At 36.0% G+C, this 24,616-nt stretch overlaps 1 long non-coding RNA gene across 1 annotated transcript in view; it reads left to right on the forward strand.

The window, feature by feature from the left end:
- Positions 1–24,110, forward strand: part of LINC01378 (long intergenic non-protein coding RNA 1378) — a 260,706-nt gene extending 236,596 nt beyond the window's left edge. The window contains exon 4 of the long non-coding RNA NR_125757.1: positions 23,943–24,110. This is a non-coding gene — a long non-coding RNA (long intergenic non-protein coding RNA 1378). The remainder of the gene's footprint in view (positions 1–23,942) is intronic.
- Positions 24,111–24,616: the final 506 nt, after the last annotated feature.

A 24,616-nucleotide genomic window follows, 5' to 3' on the forward strand; every position in this document is an offset into this window, starting at 1 on the left:
AGTCCACAATTTAGGTGAGAAAAGTCTTTTGAAGAGAGTAATTTCAAGGAATGTGTGGACATATTTAAAAATCACCACAGGTATTGTGAGTGTTTAACAGCTGAAAATAATAAATATTATTTTTTGTCACCACAATATTCAGAGGCTCGTTTTTTTGTGAAAAGGAAACCATTTTGCTCTGGAGAAATTATACTTTACTCATTTATCACCTAGATATGGTGGGACAGTGAGCCCAGCAGCGCTCCACTCACTCCCTGACTCATGGTAATCTAGGAGAGGCCACTGGACACTGAGGAAGTAAAAACTTGATGAGTGACTTCACAGCACCTGCTGTTTTTGTGTATCTGCCATGGGTCTTTTCTGGTAACTTATTGCTCCATTTCAGGGCATACAGTGATCAATTCAGGAGCACAGACATAAATAATCATAAATAATTCTGAGCAATCATAGACCACCTCTATTCTTCTATGTAGAGTATTGATCTTCGTGTCAGACTCTTTAGGTTGGGATACTGGGTCCATCACTATAGAGATGGGTAATCTCATTACATTTCCTACGGCCTTGAAAAAAATTGCTTAAACTTCTTTGAATTCCAGTTTCCTCATATCTAAAATTGAGATTAAAAAAAAGTACCTGTCTCACTGGTTGTTATGCATATTAAAAGAGTTAAAACAGGTAGTTATATATTTATGCTTATATGTATAATTGTGCTTATATTTATAATTATAAATATTCATATATACTTATTCATATACATTTATATTTACATATATTTATGTGTAGCCCCAGAGAGGATCTGAATCTGTGTCTATTGACATCTGATTTCTTCGACATACAGAAAAAGACTTTTGGAGGAATAAAATCCAACAAAAAGAATGAAAATTAAAAGGTAGTAACAATATCATGATTTGAAACCCTGAATCCAGATGTGTCTGAATCCATATGCAGACTCCACTATTCAGAAAGCCAATCAACTTCCTTTCTTGTTGCCTAAGTTAATTTCAAACTTGCATTTGAAAGGATCCTGAGAAATACAGTATGTAAAACTAGTAGCACTGGTCTTAATAGCATGAGTTACCAAGAATGTTGACTTCTGTTGCCCACAGTCATTATAGTACATAAAATTTTAATAAAGAGAAAACTGAAGATGCTAATAAATTTTGAATGGTAAGTGGTGATCTTAGTATCCAAGTAGGTGAGCTGGAATGGGGGAATTGATTTGAAATTCTCACTTACTGGATCATTGTCTAGGAAGATTTGATCTCTGCCCTGAAACAGGAAGGGTAGTTCAGATGAAGTGAGTCCTGATCAATTGCCCAGAGGGAAAAGAAATTATCAAAAAATAAATGCCAAAAGTTATACCAAAAAGGGTAGGGGCAAGGGTAAGTGGATGTTGGTATTAGAGAATTACAAAAAATCTTTAACATCTTTAAAATTTTGCTTAAAAGTTTTATGTAATTTTTGTCTATTTCAAAGCACTAATAAATTATATTAACCAATTCCCTATCCACCAATTTCTTACCCTGAATACCTCAGTTTTATACCCAGATATTTCCAAGTTATTTTGATGCAGTAAAGAATTTTAAATATCTAATAACTTAAGTTTGTGATACCTCTTGGTTTATTATTATTATTATTATTACTACTATTATTATTTTTATTATTATTATACTTTAAGTTTTAGGGTACATGTGCACAATGTGCAGGTTAGTTACATATGTATACATGTGACATGCTGGTGCGCTGCACCCACTAGCTCGTCATCTAGCATTAGGTATATCTCCCAATGCTATCCCTCCCCCCTCCCCCCACCCCACAACAGTCCCCAGAGTGTGATGTGCCCCTTCCTGTGTCCATGTGTTCTCATTGTTCAATTCCCACCTATGAGTGAGAATATGTGGTTTTTGGTTTTTTGTTCTTGCAATAGTTTACTGAGAATGATGATTTCCAATTTCATCCATGTCCCTACAAAGGACATGAACTCATCATTTTTTATGGCTGCATAGTATTCCATGGTGTATATGTGCCACATTTTCTTAATCCAGTCTATCATTGTTGGACATTTGGGTTGGTTCCAAGTCTTTGCTATTGTGAATAGTGCCACAATAAACATTCGTGTGCATGTGCCTTTATAGCAGCATGATTTATAGTCCTTTGGGTATATACCCAGTAATGGGATGGCTGGGTCAAATGGTATTTCTAGTTCTAGATCCCTGAGGAATCGCCACACTGTCTTCCACAATGGTTGAACTAGTTTACAGTCCCACCAACAGTGTAAAAGTGTTCCTATTTCTCCACATCCTCACAAGCACCTGTTGTTTCCTGACTTTTTAATGATTGCCATTCACACTGGTGTGAGATGATATCTCATTGTGGTTTTGATTTGCATTTCTCTGACGGCGAGTGATGGTGAGCATTTTTTCATGTATTTTTTGGCTGCATAAATGTCTTCTTCTGAGAAGTGGCTGTTCATATCCTTCGCCCACTTTTTGATGGGGTTGTTCGTTTTTTCCTTGTAAATTTGTTTGAGTTCATTGTAGATTCTGGATATTAGCCCTTTGTCAGATGAGTAGGTTGTGAAAATTTTCTCCCATTTTGTGGGTTGCCTATTCACTCTGCTGGTAGTTTCTTTTGCTGTGCAGAAGATCTTTAGTTTAATTAGATCCCATTTGTCAATTTTGGCTTTTGTTGCCATTGCTTTTGGTGTTTTAGACATGAAGTCCTTGCCCATACCTATGTCCTAAATGGTAATGCCTAGGTTTTCTTCTAGGGTTTTTATGGTTTTAGGTCTAACGTTTAAGTCTTTAATCCATCTTGAATTGATTTTTGTATAAGGTGTAAGGAAGGGATCCAGTTTCAGCTTTCTACATATGGCTAGCCAGTTTTCCCAGCACCATTTATTAAATAGGGAATCCTTTCCCAGTTGCTTGTTTTTCTCAGGTTTGTCAAAGATCAGATAGTTGTAGATATGTGGCATTATTTCTGAGGGCTCTGTTCTGTTCCATTGATCTATATCTCTGTTTTGGTACCAGTACCATGCTGTTTTGGTTACTGTAGCCTTGTAGTATAGTTTGAAGCCAGGTAGCGTGATGCCTCCAGCTTTGTTCTTTTGGCTTAGTATTGACTTGGCGATGTGGGCTCTTTTTTGGTTCCATATGAACTTTAAAGTAGTTTTTTCCAATTCTGTGAAGAAAGTCATTGGTAGCTTGATGGGGGTGGCATTGAATCTATAAATTACCTTGGGCATTATGGCCATTTTCACGATAATTGAATCTTCCTACCCATGAGCATGGAATGTTCTCCCATTTCTTTGTATCCTCTTTTATTTCATTGAGCAGTGGTTTGTAGTTCTCCTTGAAGAGGTCCTTCACGTCCCTTGTAAGTTGGATTCCTAGGTAGTTTATTCTCTTTGAAGCAATTGTGAATGGGAGTTCACTCATGATTTGACTCTGTGTTTGTCTGTTATTGGTGTATAAGAATGCTTGTGATTTTTGTACATTGATTTTGTATCCTGAGACTTTGCTGAAGTTGCTTATCAACTTCAGGAGATTTTGGGCTGAGACAATGGGGTTTTCTAGATATACAATCATGTCGTCCGCAAACAGGGACAATTTGGCTTCCTCTTTTCCTAATTGAATACCCTTTATTTCCTTCTCCTGCCTAATTGCCCTGGCCAGAACTTCCAACACTATGTTGAATAGGAATGGTGAGAGAGGGCATCCCTGTCTTGTGCCAGCTTTCAAAGGGAATGCTTCCAGTTTTTGCCCATTCAGTATGATATTGGCTGTGGGTTTGTCATAGATAGCTCTTATTATTTTGAGATACGTCCCATCAATACCTAATTTATTGAGAGTTTTTACTATGAAGGGTTGTTGAATTTTGTCAAAGGCCTTTTCTGCATCTATTGAGATAATCATGTGGTTTTTGTCTTTGGTTCTGTTTATATGCTGGATTACATTTATTGATTTGCGTATATTGAACCAGACTTGCATCCCAGGGATGAAGCCCACTTGATCATGGTGGATAAACTTTTTGATGTGCTGCTGGATTCAGTTTGCCAGTATTTTATTGAGGATTTTTGCATCAATGTTCATCAAGGCTATTGGTCTAAAATTCTCCTTTTTCATTGTGTCTCTGCCCAGCTTTGGTATCAGGATGATGCTGGCCTCATAAAATGGGTTAGGGAGGATTCCCTCTTTTTCTATTGATTGGAATAGTTTCAGAAGGAATGGTACCAGTTCCTCCTGTACCTCTGGTAGAATTCGGCTGTGAATCCATCTGGTCCTGGACTTTTTTTGGTTGATAAGCCATTGATTATTGCCACAATTTCAGCTCCTGTTATTGGTCTATTCAGAGATTCAACTTCTTCCTGGTTTAGTCTTGGGAGAGTGTATGTGTCGAGGAATTTATCCATTTCTTCTAGATTTTCTAGTTTATTTGCGTAGAGGTGTTTGTAGTATTCTCTGATGGTAGTTTGTATATCTGTGGCGTTGGTGGTGATATCCCCTTTATCCTTTTTTATTGCATCTATTTGATTCTTCTCTCCTTTTTTCTTTATTAGTCTTGCTAGTGGTCTATCAATTTTGTTGATCTTTTCAAAAAACCAGCTCCTGGATTCATTAATTTTTTGAAGGGTTTTTTGTGTCTCTATTTCCTTTGATTTTAGTTATTTCTTGCCTTCTGCTAGCTTTTGAATGTGTTTGCTCTTGCTTTTCTAGTTCTTTTCATTGTGATGTTAGGGTGTCCATTTTGGATCTTTCCTGCTTTCTCTTGTGGGCATTTAGTGCTATAAATTTCCCTCTACACACTGCTTTGAATGTGTCCCAGAGATTCTGGTATGTTGTGTCTTTGTTCTCATTAGTTTCAAAGAACATCTTTATTTCTGCCTTCATTTCGTTATGTACCCAGTAGTCATTCAGCAGCAGGTTGTTCAGTTTCCATGTAGTTGAGCAGTTTTGAGTGAATTTCTTAATGCTGAGTTCTAGTTTGATTGCACTTTGGTCTGGGAGATTGTTATAATTTCTGTTCTTTTACATTTGCTGAGGAGAGCTTTACTTCCAACTATGTGGTCAATTTTGGAATAGATGTGGTGTGGTGCTGAAAAAAATGTATATTCTGTTGATTTGGGGTGGAGAGTTCTGTAGATGTCTATTAGGTCTGCTTGGTGCAGAGCTCAGTTCAATTCCTGGGTATCCTTGTTGACTTTCTGTCTCATTGATCTGCCTAATGTTGACAGTGGGGTGTTAAAGTCTCCCATTATTAATGTGTGGGAGTCTAAGTCTCTTTGTAGGTCACTCAGGACTTGCTTTATGAATTTGTGTGCTTCTGTATTGGGTGCATATATATTTAGGATAGTTAGCTCTTCTTGTTGAATTGATCCCTTTACCATTATGTAATGGCCTTCTTTGTCTCTTTTGATCTTTGTTGGTTTAAAGTCTGTTTTATCAGAGACTAGGATTGCAACCCCTGCCTTTTTTTGTTTTCCATTTGCTTGGTAGATCTTCCTCCATCCTTGTATTTTGAGCCTATGTGTGTCTCTGCACGTGAGATGGGTTTCCTGAATACAATACACTGATGGGTCTTGACTCTTTATCCAATTTGCCAGTCTGTGTCTTTTAATTGGAGAATTTAATCCATTTACATTTAAAGTTAATATTGTTATATGTGAATTTGATCCTGTCATTATGATGTTAGCTGGTTATTTTGCTCGTTAGTTGATGCAATTTCTTCCTAGTCTCGATGGTCTTTACATTTTGGCATGATTTTGCAGTGGCTGGTACCGGTTGTTCCTTTCCATGTTTAGTGCTTCCTTCAGGAGCTCTTTTAGGGCAGGCCTGGTGGTGACAAAATCTCTCAGCATTTGCTTGTCTGTAAAGGATTTTATTTCTCCTTCACTTATGAAGCTTAGTTTGGCTGGATATGAAATTCTGGGTTGAAAATTCTTTTCTTTAAGAATGTTGAATATTGGCCCCCATTCTCTTCTGGCTTGTAGAGTTTCTGCTGAGAGATCTGCTGTTAGTCTGATGGGCTTCCCTTTGTGGGTAACCCGACCTTTCTCTCTGGCTGCCCTTAACATTTTTTCCTTCATTTCAACTTTGGTGAATCTGACAATTATGTGTCTTGGAGTTATTTAAGACGATATAGACTGAAACTTGCTATAAAAGATATGACTATTTTCCCTTTGAAATTACGTGTGAATTTGTATATTGTATATATAAGTGTATATATAGACTCACATAATAACATATGTATTCTCCTTAACCAAACAATTTTGTACTATATTCTCTATTTTTTGCTAAAGCTTATTTTGAAAAGTGATATGACAAGTTACCATTGAGACAATTCATGTGAAAAAGAAAAGAATAGGAAAACAATTGAATAATTATCTTCAATAGAAAATAAAAGTATTATTTACTTCCTAGTGCTCAATAAAAGATGTAACATTCATCTGTTCAAACAATGGAAATTAAATGACCACAAGGAAAATAATATGAATGCTACTTTTTTGATAAAGAAAACATTTTTAAAAATCAATTGCCATAATATTAGCAGCAAATCTTGGTTAGTATTCTAACCAGGAACTGAGAAATGATTACTAATACTAATAATGAATAACATAAAATGAAATCAGACCAACTTTGCAGAGACGATAACAAATGCCTTTGTGTCCATTATAATTTATTCAGTTAAGTCACATGCAAAATATAACTAAAATCAACCACTGATAACAAATATAAAGTGTCCAACAACATCTAAAAAATGAGGAATGTTTCAAAATATTGAAACTGAAAAATATTTTGACACCTGAAATGATTGATTCAATTTTTTATTATTTGCTCAGACATATAATCTTCATGTAGGAAAAGCTTTCGTGTCACAATTTTATCAATATTATTTGTTAGAAGCACACAATCATATTATAAGTTGGTAGCAAGTAGATTGTAAAAATGCAAAATTAGGGTTCATAGATATAGCCTGGTACTGCAATATCCCATTCTTTTGAACATCATGGCAAATTCAGGATAAATATTTGAAAGTAGCAATTTTGTAAATTGAAATAACTCCAATTTTCACTGCTCTGTTTTATTAATACATATTCTAATTACTCTTTATTATCCATGCCATGGGCCATGTTTTGGAATGCTAAGCAACAGAAGTTAGTAGATTTACTTTGGCCTTAAACAGATTTTGCATTTGAAAAATTTAATCCACAAAAGGGATTTAAAGGAAGAAAAAAAAATGACCCATTTCTTCTGAGCCTGAAAAAGGCACATCATGCAGAGGAGACCTGGATGCAACCATAGTGAGGAATGACTTATATTCACACCACATGCTAATATTTCAGATTTCACTGCTGTCTTTTCACAGTGAAAATAGCCCACACTTTTGGCCTCATGTTGAGTAACACACCTGGTAGTGGGAAGAAGATCTTGAAGCAGATGAACTGCTACATTGCTTATAGCACTCACTCTGTGGGGCAGCTGTGCTCATTTTGAGCTCTGCTGTGGATGAAAAGACAAACCAATAACCTGTGGAAAGTCGAAACACACATAAAATGAACCTTGATAGGCCAATAATGGAGAAACCAATCAAAAGACAACATATTAGCCAGCACACTAACTCTGATTGATTCACTATGCTTTCTCTAACAAGTCACTTATGCTCCTTGTTAATGTAACTGGCTTGTTCTCTTTTCTCTAAATTTTGAATGTTTATAAAGCTAGTCCCTTTAAAAAAATGTTTTATATCTTTTTTCTCAAGTGTTACATTGACAGTCTCGTATAGGATTTTATATAATATTTGTTTTCCCCTTGTTCTTCATAATCATTTAGCTTTTGTGTATTATAATTATTATTACCTTTAATCATATTATTTTCTCAACAAATAATTGTTCCCTAATATCATTGTTATTATTATTCTTTTCCTAATAAATGATCAGTGTAAAAGAATCATATCAATATATCCTAGAATAACCATCCTATTCTTTAAATGCCTATGAAAAAGAATTCTACATTCTCATTTCCAAATTTTCACATTCATAAAGTTCTTTCACATGCCTGAAGTCCTTCCTTTCATCAAACCTAAACTATTCCTATTTCAAATTATATCCATTTGCTGTGGGTCATTGAAAATAGGCAACTGTTGATTGTGTTTTCTGCACAGTGAATATTAAAGATGAAATTGTCAAGGAACCATTGAAATGCGACATCTTAAATCACGAAGACAGAAGATATCTTGAAAGTTCATTGTCTTATCTTGAAGTCAATATCTAATTAACATCAGGAACACTGACAATTATTTTTCTGATTAATACTCCAAAACATAAGTAACCAAATTAGGTCTTTGCTGCAATAACATTATGGCAAATTTATTGTTTTAAATTAATTATACCATCTTACACTGTTGTGTTTAATTATTAGTAAGTTTATTTACCTGACCTTTCATTGACTCAGTGGTCTTTTCCTTATACAAAACAACCTTATGTATCTAACCAATTAGAACATGATTTATAATTTTTTGAGCAAGATAATATAAGAATATTATTGATGGTATTTTCCTATGCTTTTGAATGGTATACTAATTGATTTTTAAATGACTCATATATATCAAACCTCAGTTTAATTTATTTAACAAACACATTTGTTGCACTCGCCATGTACCAGGCATAATTATAAGTGCTTTAATAATATTAATTCATTTAATCTTATTAACAATAAATTATATTCTAATCACAATTCTAGTGTTGAGAAATGCACCAAAGTAACACTGAATATAATATAAGTAGTAGAGATGGAATTTGAACCCAGATAACACCAGTTCCAGAGTTAGTTCTCTTAAACACTGTTTCATGAAATCAAAAAGGAAAGGGAGGGTGGACATTATGGAAGGATGGCTACGGCAACATAGTTTTTGAGTCTCATAAACATACAGAGAGCAGCTGGATAGTAAAGCACACAAAACAACTAGATCATATGCCCAAAACTTATAAGCAACATTTACAGCAAATTGAGAAGGCAAGGTATTCCTACAAACTTCAAAATACAAATGATTGAGAACCAACCATCAACAACCACAAGAGTCACATGACAGCAGCCTTTCTGCAGGACAAAGCAGAAAAAGCAACGAGGTGTCTTGTCATAGCATTCCAATTTGAAGACAGCAGCAGAACTGAGAGAGCTTTTGCCAAATCCAGTATGAAGTGAGTTGAGAAGTCCACAGTAAGATAACATGAAAAGGTGCAGTTTGGCCCCTGGAAAATCTCAAAATAAGCAAGTTAGGTTTCCTAGGCATAAGAGAAACTACCTACTTGAAATAAAAATTGAGTAAAATAATTACAATAGAGATAAAGGTTAAGTGAAGTTTCAGAGAAAAGTAGGGAAAAAAACACAACCAGGAAATCAGAAAGCAAGCTACTACAGTGTTGACATTACATGAAAACAATAAAAGGAATTGAGAGAAATTTTAAAAATCTCCTAGAAACAGACCACCTTCCAGAAGTTTAGAAGCAAAAATAATTTTATATCAAAATAAGATATAAAAATATTGAAGTCAAATTCCATACAAAGTTTTTATATGAAAGTATAAGAAAAAGATACTGTATGGACAAACTATAAAATACTATAGGTCATTCAAAATGACCTAAAGTAAAATTAAAATGACTTAAGATTAAAAAAAGCTATTCAAGAATGTCATGAACGAAAACCTGAGAAGTATATTAAGAGAACTCAGGAAAGAGAAATAAAAAAAAATCCAACTTCTCAGAAATAAAGAATAAATTAGAGAAACATAAAATAGGTAACACCTTAACATTAATAAAAGGTAAAAAAAGTGGACCCTTTTAAAAAAATCAGAGTAAATGAAAGAAGAGGTTAAAAAATATTAGAAAGTGACAACTATTGAAGATAGGCAAAGGAAGAATTTTCAATAGACAGTAACAGCCCAAAGGATGGAAGAGGAATAAACAAAAAAGAAAACAGCACTAAAAATTTCAATTCAGGAAAACTTCCTAATATAAAGAAGAGTTTTAAATTACATATTAAGAGAGCATATCAGCTGGGCATGGTGGCTCATCCCTGTAATCCCAGCACTTTGGGAGGCTGAGGTGGGCAGATCACCTGAGGTCAGGAGTTCGAAACCAGCCTGGCCAACATGGTGAAACCCGTCTTTACTAAAAATACAAAATTAGCCGGGTGTGGCACACGCCTGTAATTCCAGCTACTTGGGAGGCTGAGGTAGGAGAATCGTTTGAACCCGGGAGGCGGAGGTTGCAGTGAGCCAAGCTCGCGCCATTGTACTCCATCCTGGGCAAAAAAGAGTTAAACTCCAACTCAACAACAACAACAACAACAAAGAACATATCACTTCACATCCATAAGAATATGGTCCCAAAATGACCAATGCCAACACATACGGGGCTTCAAAGAGAAAGGACAACTTTTTGATATTATGTTAATTAATTAATCAAGGAGAAAGAACTAGTTTATCATTAGTCTCTTTGACAATGACATTTAACCCCAAAGAAAACGGAAGTAAATGAAAGATATAGTATATTCAAGATATGCAACGAAAACAAATAAAGATTTTAAACTCAGTAAAACTGAGTGCAAACTATTATCAATATGAAAGAACTTAAAAAATATTGTTCCCTTGAGCCCTTCATAGGGAATTTACTAAAGGATGAACTTCAGACAACTAAGATGAATAGAAAACATCACTATAAGGGTGAGCAGTGAGCACTAAACTTATGGATGTTTATAGATATAAAACAAAATGAAGGTTGTCGTGGAAAGAGTATTGTTTGAATAGCTATGTGCTCTGATATTTTAAAATGATGGCATAAAGGAGGAGATCTTTTATGAAAAAATACTTTTGACTGTCCTTATTAATTATACAAGCAGTGGAATATTCATATTATTATTCCAAGATTATTGTGTGTCTGATGCTGTATAAACTAAGTGAGTAATTATCATCATTTGTGATCTCAAGATAAGGGTTTTTAGAGTTGGAGAAATATAGATGGAATGTAGAAGATGTTAAGCTAAAAAGAAAAAAAAAGGAAAACACGAAACCTGCATTTCAATTGGAATTATCAATATCAATCATGCTATTGAAACGCTAACTTTTATATTTTGCTGACTACATAGTTACGTAATACAGTCCAGCTGAAATGAGCACACTTAACTGCCAGATTATAGTCTTAAATGATCACTTATCACTAAAAGAAAGTGAGGCTCTGTGGGGATATGGCTGATTTCAGGACTGGAGCAGGGAATGTGGAAAATGAAACTAGTATGTCTGACTCCATATCATACATCAAGGCCATTATAATCATGTTAAAAGGATTCAAAAGCCAATTTGTAGAGGCTTTTAGTGGCTAGTGATAGACAAAATATTTCGTAATAATACACTTAAAAACTAATTGCTAAATGTTGAAGGATAACAGGCAACCAATTAATTCTCTTGAATATGGATATAAAGCAGGACAGAGTCAAGAATTTATCAAGCCTTTCCAATTTGAATTTTCCATTGGTTAACCAAGTACAAGATGAGGGGATGTGTCTCTTCATAAAAGTATTCAACTAATAAATTAATAGAAATAATAGAGGAAATTCCCTGGTGAATTAATGAATTGATGCATTAGAACCACTTCTGATAATATCACAAAAAAGAGATAATGTAGACATGATTTTGCTGCCTATAAAATTCAGATTGTGAGATATTCTCTACAGGTCAAATATGCAGTGTTTTTCAGCAGACTATAAAAGGCTTAAAAATAGCAAAATTTTAGTACTACTAAATTATGTTACCTAGGAATCCTCACTTGGATGTAACATTATAAAGAAATATAGGGAGTGATAACTAAAATAGTCAGAATAGTTATCACTTTTGGGAGGAGAGAGAAGGTTGGAAACGGTATAGGAATTATGGAGAGATCTCTAGGTAGCTGGCAAGTTTTTATTTATTGACTAGAGTGGTAGTTACAAGGTTGTTCACCCTAAAATATCTCATTGAGCTACACATATGTGTGCTTTTCTACATCTGCATTTCGTTTTCTAGTAAAAAGTTAAAAAAAAAAAACCCTGATTTTTCTTTAATGAAGCATTCACTTAGCCACACATGTATTTTCCAAGTGTACAACTTTATCTCAAAATAGATATTTTTTATCTTAAATCTCATTTGGGGCACAAGAATTCATCGGGTCTTTCAAACCAAATATCAGAAAGTCATTGTATATGTCATGTTTCTTTCATGCCAGATCTAATGTGGCTCTTCTGCTTTCTTAACATTTCCACACATATCTCCCTTTCTTGTCAATCACTTCAACAAATCCTCCTTCCAGGATTCTAATACTTCTTTCTTGTGTGATAGAAATTGCCTGCTAATCACTACATTCTGGTTATCTTCCACTTTATCCTCCATAATACTACCAAAGTGGTATTTTAAAACTTAACCTTTATGATATTATCATTCATGACTAGGATGTCAAATGTAATTTAAAGTAGATGTAGGAGTAGGTTTTCTTTCTCTCAGTAGAACTTAAATATATAAATACATTTTTTGTAAACTTCAATTAATACTATTTTAAAGCAGGTTTAATTCAATTATTGGATGAAGTAATAGGACCAAATTCAATGAATAGAACAAATTCACAAGGGTCTAATGTTTCAAAGAAAATTGAATGATATTCTTCAAGTTACAGAAATTCACCACAATTGGAGCTTATTGTAGCATTTGTTATCTTAGGAGCTGACCACCTAATTAAGCTAAGTTCACTATAGTCATAGGGATCATCCAAAAGATTAAACTTTAGGTCTAGCCATTCAGAATAACTCCAGAGTGCTTGCAGTGATAATTTTGTTATTTTTCAAGATGGCTAGTAGAGTTACAGACAGGACTTTCACAGAGTCATAGATATTGCATTTTCAATTGAAAAAATGCCTGAAGGGCCTAACACTCTCACTTCACAAATACTGTCATCTAGGGAGAGACACTGGAGGGGTTGCTCAAATTTCTAGCACTAGAGGTGACGGATAAGAGAAGAAACCAGGTCTTTGAACTCTCGATACCCACTGCCCTTTCCTTCAGTATTGATATGGTTTGGCTATGTCCCCACCTAAATCCCATCTTGATTTTTAGCTTCCATGATTCCCAGGTGTTGTGGGAGGGACCTGGTGGGAGATAATTTAATCATGGGGGAAGGTCTTTACCGTGCCATTCTCATGATAGTGAATAAGTCTCATGAGATCTGATGGTTTTATAAAGGGGAGTTCCTCTGCACAAGGTCTCTTCTCTTGTCTGCCACCATATGAGACATGTCTTTCACCTTCCACCATGATTGTGAGGCCCCCACCAGACACATGGAACTGTGAGTCTATTAAACCTCTTTCTTTTATAAATTGCCCAGTCTCAGATATGTCTTTATTAGCAGTGGGAAAATGGACTAATATAGTAAATTGGTACCAAGAGCGAGGTGCTGCTGTAAAGATACCTGAATATGTGGAAAAAACTTTGGTACTGGATAATAGGCAGAAGTTGGAACAGTTTGGAGGGCTCAGAAGACAGGAAAATGTGGGAAAGTTTGGAACTCCCTAGAGGCTTGTTAAATGGCTTTGACCAAAATGCTGGTAATGATACGGACAATGAAATCCAGGCTGAAGTGGTCTCAAATGGAGATGAGGAACTTGTTGGTAACTAGTGCACAGGTGATTCTTGTTATGTTTTAGCAAAGAGACTGTGGCATGTTGCCCCTACCCTAGAGATCTGTGGAACTTTGAACTTGAGAGAGATGATTTGGGGTATCTGGCTGAAGAAATTTCTAAGCAGCAGAGCATTCAAGAGGTGACTTGAGTGCTGTTAAAGGCATTCAGTTTTAAAAGGGAAACAGAGCATAAAAGTTTGGAAAACTTGCAGCCTGACAATGTGATAAACAAGAAAATCCCATTTTCTGAGGAGAAATTCAAGCCAGCTGCAGAAATTTGCGTAAGTAACGAGGAGCTGAATGTTAATCACCAAGACAATGGGGAGAATGCCTCCAGGGCATGTCAGAGAAATTTGTGGCAACCTCTCCCATCACAGGCCCAGAGGGCTAGGAGAAAAAAAACGATTTCAAAGACCGGACCCAGGATCCCTCTGTTGTGTGCAGTCTATGGACTTGGTGCCCTGTGCCCCAGCCACTCAAGCCATGAATAAAAGGGGCCAAGATGCAGTTCAGGCCATGACTTCAGAGGGTGCAAGCCCCAAGCCTTGGCAGCTCCCCTGTGGTTTTGAGCCTGCAGTGCACAGAAGTCAATAATTGAGGTTTGTGAACCTCCCTAGGTTTCAGAGGATGTGTGGAAATGCCTAGGTGTCCAGGCAGATGTTTGCTGCAGGGGCAGGGTGCTCATGGAGAACCTGTGGTGGGGAAGTGTGGAAGGGAAATGTGGGGTGGGTGTCCCCACACAGAGTCCCACTGGGGTGCTACCTTGGGATCCCATCCCATGGGGTCACATCTCTTGCATCAGTGTGACCTGGTTGTGAGACTTGGAGTCAAAGGAGATCATTTTGGAGCTTTAAGATTTTACTGCCCTGTTGGATTTTGGACGTCCACGGGGCCTTTAGCCCCTTTGTTTTGGCCAATTTTTCCCATTTGGAATGGCTGTATTTACCCAATGCCTGTACCCCCCTGGTATCCAGGAAGTAACTAACTTGGTTTTGAATTTACAGGCTCATAGGCAGAAGGGACTTGCCTTGTCTCAGATGAGACTTTGGACTATGGACTTTTGAGTTAATGTTGAAATGAGTTAAGACTTTGGGGAACTGTTGGGAAGGCATAATTGGTTTTGAAATGTGAGGAGATGAGATTTGGGAGGGGCCAGGGAAAGAATGATATGGTTTGGCTGTGTCTTCACCCAAATCTCCTCCTGAATTCTAGCCCCCATAATTCCCACATGTTGTGGGAGGGACCTGGTGGGAGATATTTGAATCACCGCGTGGGTATTTTCCATGCTATTCTCATGATAGTGACTAAGTCTCATGAGATCTAATGGTTTTATAAAGGGCAGTTTCCCTGCACATGCTCTCTTCTCTTGTCTGCCACCATGTGAGTCATGCCTTTTACCTTCCACTGTGATTGTGAGGCCTCCTCTGCCACATGAAACTGTGTGTTCATTAAACCTCTTTTTTTATTATTATTGTACTTTAGGTTCTAGGGTACATGTGCACAACATGCAGGTTTGTTACATATGTATACATGTGCCATGTTGGTGTGCTGCACCCATTAACTCGTCATTTACATTAGGTATATCTCCTAATGCTATCCCTCCCCGCTCCCCCTACCCTACAACAGGCCCCAGTGTGTGATGTTCCCCTTCCTGTGTCCAAGTGTTCTCATTTTTCAATTCCCACCTGTGAGTGAGAATATGTGGTGTCTGGTTTTTTGTCCTTATGATAGTTTGCTGAGAATGATGGTTTCCAGCTTCATCCATGTCCCTTTAAAAGGACATGAACTCATCATTTTTTATGGCTGCATAGTATTCCATGGTGTATATGTGCCATATTTTCTTAATCCAGTCTATCATTGATGGACATTTGGGTTAGTTCCAAGTCTTTGCTATTGTGAATAGTGCCGCAACAAACATACGTGTGCATGTGTCTTTATAGCAGCATGACTTATAATCCTTTGGGTATATACCAAGTAATGGGATGGCTGGGTCAAATGGTATTTCTAGTTCTAGATCCCTGAGGAATTGCCACACTGTCTTCCACAATGGTTGAAATAGTTTACAGTCCCAACAACAGTGTAAAAGTGTTCCTATTTCTCCACATCCTCTCCAGCATCCGTTGTTTCCTGACTTTTTAATGATTGTCATTCTAACTGGTGCAAGATGGTATCTCATTGTGGTTTTCATCTGCATTTCTCTGATGGCCAGTGATGATGAGCATTTTTTCATGTGTCTTTTGGCTGCATAAATGTCTTCTTTTGAGAAGTGTCTGTTCACATCCTTCACCCACTTTGTGATGGGGTTGTTTCTTTTTTTCTTGTAAATTTGTTTGAGTTCTTTGTAGATTCTGGATATTAGCCCTTTGTCCGATGAGTAGATTGCAAAAATTTTCTCCCATTCTATAGGTTGCCTGTTCACTCTGATGGTAGTTTCTTTTGCTATGCAGAAGATCTTTAGTTTAATTAGATCCCATGTGTCAATTTTGGCTTTTGTTGCCATTGCTTTTGGTGTTTTAGACATGAGGTCCTTGCCCATGCCTATGTCCTGAATGGTGTTGCCTAGGTTTTCTTCTAGGGTTTTTATGGTTTTAGATCTAACATTTAAGTCTTTAATCCATCTTGAATTAATTTTTGTATAAGGTGTAAGGAAGGGATCCAGTTTCAGCTTTCTACATATGGCTAGCCAGTTTTCCCAGCACCATTTGTTAAATAGGGAATCCTTTCCCCATTTCTTGTTTTTGTCAGGTTTGTCAAAGATCAGATGGTTGTAGATGTGTGGTATTATTTCTGAAGGCTCTGTTCTGTTCCATTGGTCTATATCTCTGTTTTGGTACCAGTATCATGCTGTCTTGGTTACTGTAGCCTTGTAGTATAGTTTGAAGCCAGGTAGCGTGATGCCTCCAGCTTTGTTCTTTTGGCTTAGGATTGACTTGGCAATATGGGCTCTTTTTTAGTTCCATATGAACTTTAAAGTAGTTTTTTCCAATTCTGTGAAGAAAGTCATTGGTAGCTTGATGGGGATGGCATTGAATCTATAAATTACCTTGGGCAGTATGGCCATTTTCACGATATTGATTCTTCCTATCCATGAGCATGGAATGTTCTTCTATTTGTTTGTATTCTCTTTTATTTCATTGAGCAGTGGTTTGTAGTCCTCCTTGAATAGGTCCTTCACATCCCTTATAAGTTGGATTCCTAGGTATTTTATTCTCTTTGAAGCAATTGTGAATAGGAGTTCACTCATGATTTGGCTGTTTGTCTGTTATTGGTATATAAGAATCCTTGTGATTTTTGCACATTGATTTTGTATGCTGAGACTTTGCTGAAGTTGCTTATCAGCTTAAGGAGATTTTGGGCTGAGACAATGGGGTTTTCTACATATACAGTCATGTCATCTGCAAACAGGGACAATTTGACTTCCTCTTTTTCTAATTGAATACCCTTTATTTCTTTCTTCTGCCTCATTGCCCTGGCCAGAACTTCCAACACTATGCTGAATAGGAATGGTGAGAGAGGGCATCCCTGTCTTGTGCCAGTTTTCAAAGGGAATGCTTCCAGTTTTTGCCCATTCAGTATAATATTGGCTGTGGGTTTGTCATAAAGAGCTCTTACTATTTTGAGATACGTCCCATCAATACCTAATTTATTGAGAGTTTTTAGCATGAAGGGTTGTTGAATTTTGTCAAAGGCCTTTTCTGCATCTATTGAGATAATCATGTGGTTTTTGTCTTTGGTTCTGTTTATATGCTGGATTATGTATTTTGATTTGCGTTTGTTGAACCAGACTTGCATCCCAGGGATGAAGCCCACTTGATCATGGTGGATAAGCTTTTTGATGTGCTGCTGGATTTGGTTTGCCAGTATTTTATTGAGGATTTTTGCATCGATGTTCATCAGGGATATTGGTCTAAAATTCTCTTTTTTTGTTGTGTCTCTGCCAGTCTTTGGTATCAGGATGATGCTGGCCTCATTAAATGAGTTAGGGAGAATTCTCTCTTTTTCTATTGATTGTAATAGTTTCAGAAGGATGGTACCAGCTCCTCCTTGTACCTCTGGTAGAATTCGGCTGTGAATCCGTCTGGTCCTGGACTTTTTTTGGTTGGTAAGCTATTAATTATTGCCTCAATTTCAGAGCCTGTTATTGGTCTATTCAAAGATTCAACTTCTTCCTGGTTTAGTCTTGGGAGGGTCTATGTGTCCAGGAATTTATTCATTTCTTCTAGATTTTCTAGTTTCTTTACATAGAGGTGTTTATAGTATTCTCTGGTGGTAATTTGTATTTCCGTGGGATCAGTGGTGATATCCCCTTTATCATTTTTCTATTGCATCTATTTGATTCTTCTCTGTTTTCTTCTTTATTAATCTTGCTAGCAGTCTATCAATTTTGTTGAACTTTTCAAAAAAACAGCTCCTGGATTCATTGATTTTTTGAAGGGTTTTTTGTGTCTCTGTGTCCTTCAGTTCTGCTCTGATCTTAGTTATTTCTTGCCTTCTGCTAGCTTTTGAATGTGTTTGCTCTTGCTTCTCTAGTTCTTTTAATTGTGATGTTAGGGTGTCAATTTTGAATCTTTCCTGCTTTCTCTTGTGGGCATTCAGTGCTATAAATTTCCCTCTACACACTGCTTTGAATGTGTCCCAGAGATTCTGGTATGTTGTGTCTTTGTTCTCATTGGTTTCAAAGAACATCTTTATTTCTGCCTTCATTTTGTTATGTACCCAGTAGTCATTCAGGAGGAGGTTGTTCAGTTTCCATGTAGTTGAGCGGTTTTGAGTGAGTTTCTTAATCCCGAGTTCTAGTTTGATTGCACTGTGGTCTGAGAGACAGTTTGTTATAATTTCTGTTCTTTTACATTTGCTGAGGAGTGCTTTACTTCCAACTATATGGTCAATTTTGGAATAAGTGCCAGGTGGTGCTGAGAAGAATGTATATTCTGTTGATTTGGAGGGGAGAGTTCTATAGATGTCTATTAGGTCTTCTTGGTGCAGAGCTCAGTTCAATTCCTGGATATCCTTGTTAACTTTCTGTCTTGTTGATCATCTAGTGTTGACAGTGGGGTGTTAAAGTCTCCCATTATTTTTGTGTGGGAGTCTAAGTCTCTTTGCAGGTCTCTAAGGACTTGCTTTATGAATCTGGGTGCTCCTGTATTGGGTGCATATATATTTAGGATAGTTAGCTCTTCTTTTTGAATTGATCCCTTTACCATTATCTAATGGCCTTCTTTGTCTCTTTTCATCTTTGTTGGTTTAAAGTCTGTTTTATCAGAGACTAGGATTGCAACCCCTGCCTTTTTTTGCTTTCCATTTACTTGGTAGATCTTCCTCCATCCCTTTATTTTGAGCCTATGTGTGTCTCTGCAGGTGAGATGGGTTTCCTGAATACAGCACACTAATGGGTCTTGACTCTTTATCCAATTTGCCAGTCTGTGTCTTTTAATTGGATCATTTAGCTCATTTACATTTAAGGTTAATATTGTTATGTATGAATTTGATACTGTCATTATGATGTTAACTGGTTATTTTGCTCGTTGGTTGATGCAGTTTCTTCCTAGCATCAATGGTCTTTACAATTTGGCATTTTTTTGCAGTGGCTGGTAGCAGTTGTTCCTTTCCATGTTGAGTGCTTCCTTCAGGAGCTCTTGTAAGGCAGGCCTGGTGGTGACAAAATCTCTCAGCATTTGCTTGTCTGTAAAGTATTTTATTTCTCCTTCACTTATTAAACTTAGTTTGGTTGGATATGATATTCTGGGTTGAAAATTCTTTTCTTTAAGAATGTTGAATATTGGCCCCTACTCTCTTCTGGCTTGTAGAGTTTCTGCCGAGAGATCAGCTGTTAGTCTGATGGGCTTCTCTTTGTGGGTAACCCGACCTTTCTCTCTGGCTGCCCTTAACATTTTTTCCTTCATTTCAACTTTGGTGAATCTGACAATTATGTGTCTTGGAGTTGCTCTTCTCGAGAAGTATCTTTGTGGCGTTCTCTGTATTTCCTGAATTTGAATGTTGGCCTGCCTTGCTAGGTTGGGGAAGTTCTCCTGGATAATATCCTGCAGAGTGTTTTCCAACTTGGTTCCATTCTCCCCATCACTTTCAGGTACACCAATCAGATGTAGATTTGGTCTTTTCACATAGTCCCATATTTCTTGGAGGCTTTGTTCGTTTCTTTTTATTCTTTCTTCTCTAAACTTCTCTTCTTACTTCATTTCATTCATTTGATCTTCAATCACTGATACCCTTTCTTCCAGTTGATCAAACCAGCTACTGAAGCTTGTGCATTCATCACGTAGTTCTTGTGCCATGGTTTTCAGCTCCATCAGGTTATTTAAGGACTTCTCTATGTTGGTTATTCTAGTTAGCCATTCGTCTAATCTTTTTTCAAGTTTTTTAACTTTTTTGCGATGGATTCGAACTTCCTCCTTTAGCTCGGAGAAGTTTGGTCGTCTGAAGCCTTCTTCTCTCAACTCATCAATGTCATTCTCCGTCCACCGTTTTTCCATTGCTGGTGAGGAGCTGCGTTCCTCAGTTGGAAATGCAGAAATCACCCATCTTCTGCATCACTCATGCTGGTAGCTGTAGACTGGAGCTGTTCCTATTCAGCCATCTTGGAACCACCCAACTTCTTTCTTTTGTAAATTTCCCAGTCTCAAATATGTCTTTATCAGCAGCAGGAAAACAGACTAACACAGGTATCAAAATTGAAGAGTTCAGCGCATCGCTAGAGCAAACCAAGGTTTCCAACAGAGAAGCCAAATCTGTCTCGGCCCGTGGAGGCCTTCCTGATCACACATTGAATAGGATGTGTGAGGAAAAAGAAAAAAGAGAGGATTCACTAACTTAGTTCAATCCCAGCTCTGGTTTTGATGTACTTTAAAGTAGCAGGAGACATCATTTATCCACTGAATTTTTCAGTAAAAATGCTACTGAGTCAAATAGTTTATCAACATTTAATTCATTAGATTACAATAAATTGCATATTTTTCATAGAGTGAGTCAAGAACAATTTCAAATCATAGTTCTCATAAAGATGTAAAATAGCACAACTTGCCCTAAGGAAACAGGAACATTTTGAAATTTATAACACCTAACAATTTTTGACCAAACAGGGAAGAAAATATGAATAACGATTATGGCCATCAAGATAGAGGTTAAGAAAAGGAAATTTAAGTCAATCCCCTAACTTTGTATAACATGGGCATGAAAAGAGGAGATTAAGACAGTATCACATCCAGCTTTTGCTCTTTAATGTGAAGATTACATAGAGGAAAATTTTATTTTTTTCACTAAGAAAGCTTTCCAAACACTAAAAATTATCACAAATTATGTTTTATATATAACATTATTTCTACTTCCTTTCATTCCCTTAAAAAAAAGATCATCTTTAATTTTTTCCTCTGTAAATAAGATTTTCTTTTTCATAGGGAATTCAGAGTACCTGTGTTCCAAGCTTAGAAATCATCCACAATTTACACAAATGAAGTCCACAGTTTAGCCATAAACAATCACACTTTCAGTATTAGTTATATGTGCCAAATCAAAATGTAGCAAGGAAGGACATAACTTCAAACAGAAAATCTGAATTTATGCCAAAAAAATGTGAAACAGGTTTACCGTTACCCTAGCCTTTCACCAGAGAAAACTTACTTCTTGAACTATTTGGTTTAGCTTAAGCTATAGGCTTACATTTCAAAAACACGTATATCAAACGTGAAAGACTGACAGAGGTATTCAAACAAAAGGAATAATTTGCAGTCATTGCTCTATTATGCCATTTCCTTTTTAATGCCTGAAATAATATTACAAAGAAAGAGAAGATTTTATAAAATAATCATTTATTTAGGCAATATCATCCTTAGTTTATATTAATTATCCTTTCAATACATCTTATTTATATTCTAGTTAAAATTCCCGTATAAGCGTATATGTCTAAACAGGCCATAATAATAAAAAACCTCATCCTTTCCAACTGTATGCATATAAAATTAGCTAACCAAGCTTAACTATGCCTTTTTTAACACCAAAAATAAAAATGTATAAAATGAGGAGGAAAGCCTTGTAAACAACTGAGATGTTTTTCCTTATTTCAAATCTATGAGTACAAAAGGTACATTTGTTCAAACACTACCTGACGGACCTCAAAAAATCCATTCTTTATTAGTCACAGCAAAATTGCAATGCAATGATGTTGTATTTGGAGAATTTTAAAGGATATTGTTTATAAAACTGTTCTTTCCCTTTGTTACTAATATCAGTATGTCTGGATTGCTAGAGGGGTTATTTTAAAAAAAAAAAGTTGACAATCTTAACAATGCAATTACTTTCATTGTCATTTCAATAACGAATTTATCCGATCATCTGGATTTGAGCAATTCCTGTGGTTCTAGCTGTAAGAGAGGGAACTTTTTTCCTCTAAGAAATGAATTGAGGGGATCATCCATGAAGTCTCTAATCACTTCTTTTCTTTTAGAGCACTTGGAACACTGTGTCACTGTGTTAGGAGTGATGCTGAAAAGCTGGCAGCCAAAGATCTCTTTTTACTTCATTATTTCCAGTAGACTCTCAGAAAATCAACAGTCTTTTATAAAGATAAAACTTTATTTGTGTTGCCCTTCTTCTGCATTACTTTAAAATAGGCTATTTATTATACAAGACATAATATAATTGTCATAAACATGCTCCCCAAAAAAGTTTCCTGTTCCTAAAATAAGTAATTCTGATTAAATATGTAAAACAATACTAATTTTGTGAGGTTTTCAAATTTTGATTTGCTTTGAACTTTATCTGCATAGATAAGGTAACACTAAGACCCTTGGGTTGGACATTTAAATAAATATGATTGTTTTTTCTGAAATACCTTGGCAAGATATCAGAGCTACCACTGAGAACTTGACGATTACAACTGCCAATGACTTTGCCCGACACTGGACAAGAATAAAACAAATGCTTCAATGTACCACGTAGCATTGCCCTGCTTCTTTAAAATTACAGTATTATAACTAATTACTCATTCATTTTTCCTTTTATAAAATTATCCTAGTATTTTCCTCCTCTAATATATTAAAACATTTTTAATACAGAAGGAATCCAACATTAAAATGGATAATAAACTTGTTTCATATATTTCTCTGAGTGTAAACAATTGATTTTTTTAAAAAAAATTATGTCAGACAAATTATATTTCAACATAAATATTAAAAGAAACCTTTTGTTAAAATACATTTTAGGAGTTGGGAAATAAAATTTATAGGAAAAGGCAAAGTAACTGAATTTAAGCAACTTGCACATTAGACGTGACAATATATAATATAATAACTTTCAAACATACAAAATGTCCATACAGAGGAAATAGTGGACAACTATTTCCATCTCTACCTATGGACAAGGCTAGATGAAATAGGCTTAAAATGCAGCCAGAGAAATTTAAGTTGGATATACGAGTACTGAAGGGTTTGGGCTGGGGATACTGTGAAGACCTCTTCTTAGGCCTTGGCAGAGATTTCTCTCTATGAGTTATAGTTGGTTCCATTGTCTCAATTATTTCTTCTAACTGTGACTTGTAGACAATACTGGGAATACATTTATGAAGAAATAATATTTACTTGCAGTTATATGTGGGAACAATCACTTGAGGACTTTTTCAGGTTATCCTTATCACCAACAATATAGCCTAATGTGTAGTAAACATGCAATTACTATTAGCTCATTATTAAACCAATAAAAGAAAAGTTACATAGGGTGTTCAGTCAAATATCAAGCAGGAAAGGATGTCACAGTAATTAAAAGCATGGTCTCTGGAGCTGTAGCTAGGATTAAAATCCTAGCTCTTCTACTGACCAGCTGTATGACCCCGGGCAAGTACTTCTATTTTTCTGTGCCCCAATTTCCTCATCTTTATGATGCAATATTAAGAAATAAGTAAAAATTAGGTATTTGAAAGACTCAAGAGAAACAGTGGAGAAACAAAAATGAGATTAGACTAGTTTCGGTGAACTTTTAAGAAATGCAAATTAAGTTAATAACATTAAAGTATATGGCACTGTGGCACAAGAGTCTATCCAGCTTCTACATAATTATTTCACTTAGAAACAATTTCCCATTGCAGTCCCTCAAGTTTATCATTTAACATTTTATAACCTTAATTTCCTTTAAATCTGGAGTGGGGAGGAAATCTACAATAGTGCCTTTGAAACACTTATATAGCATCTTTTATGTCTTAGCTATTCTTCTGAGCACATTGTCATGTATTTTTCAGGTTTTCAAGAAACCTTTGCAACTTTAACATAGCATTTTGAGGAGTAAAAGTGACACCTGGAAAAAGCCATCCTTGAGAACTAACTCCCCACAAACTGATCAGATGTCACAACTGTGATTTTTCTTCAGAGAGAGCAAAACTATGGGTTAAGATGTGTTTGGAAGGCAGAAATCTGACCAAGAGTCTGTCATGAGGAGCAGACATACAGAAGAATGATTCACAAGAAGACCTCCTTTCTGTGCATTGAACATCTATCCACAGAGCACATCTTCATTACTAGGGGAGAGCATCCATCAGCTGACATGGTGGTGGCAGCATGGTCACAACTGAGGTGCGGCTTCAGAAAGGAGAGCTTTTCAATAGTTAGATTATTACAGGGCCCAACTAAATGCCTCAAATTCCCAGGAATGTAGATAATAACAATTATGCCTCTTTCTCTCTTTTCCTCACAGACAAAAAGGTAACTTATGTTGCATAATTATAAAAAATTCCAAAATAAAAATTTGAAATATACAGGACACTTCAAATAATACATCTACATGTTTTGAATCATCTTCCTAAAGCCCAAATATTGTTGTTGTGTACCCAGGCACAGTAGGGAGCTGATCATTACAAATGACAGCAACAACATTTTAAAATTATAAATCTTAAGAATATTTAAATAAATGTATAGC

The sequence above is a fragment of the Homo sapiens genome, chromosome 4, assembly GCF_000001405.40.
Source record: "Homo sapiens chromosome 4, GRCh38.p14 Primary Assembly".
NCBI classification, from domain to species: domain Eukaryota; kingdom Metazoa; phylum Chordata; class Mammalia; order Primates; family Hominidae; genus Homo; species Homo sapiens.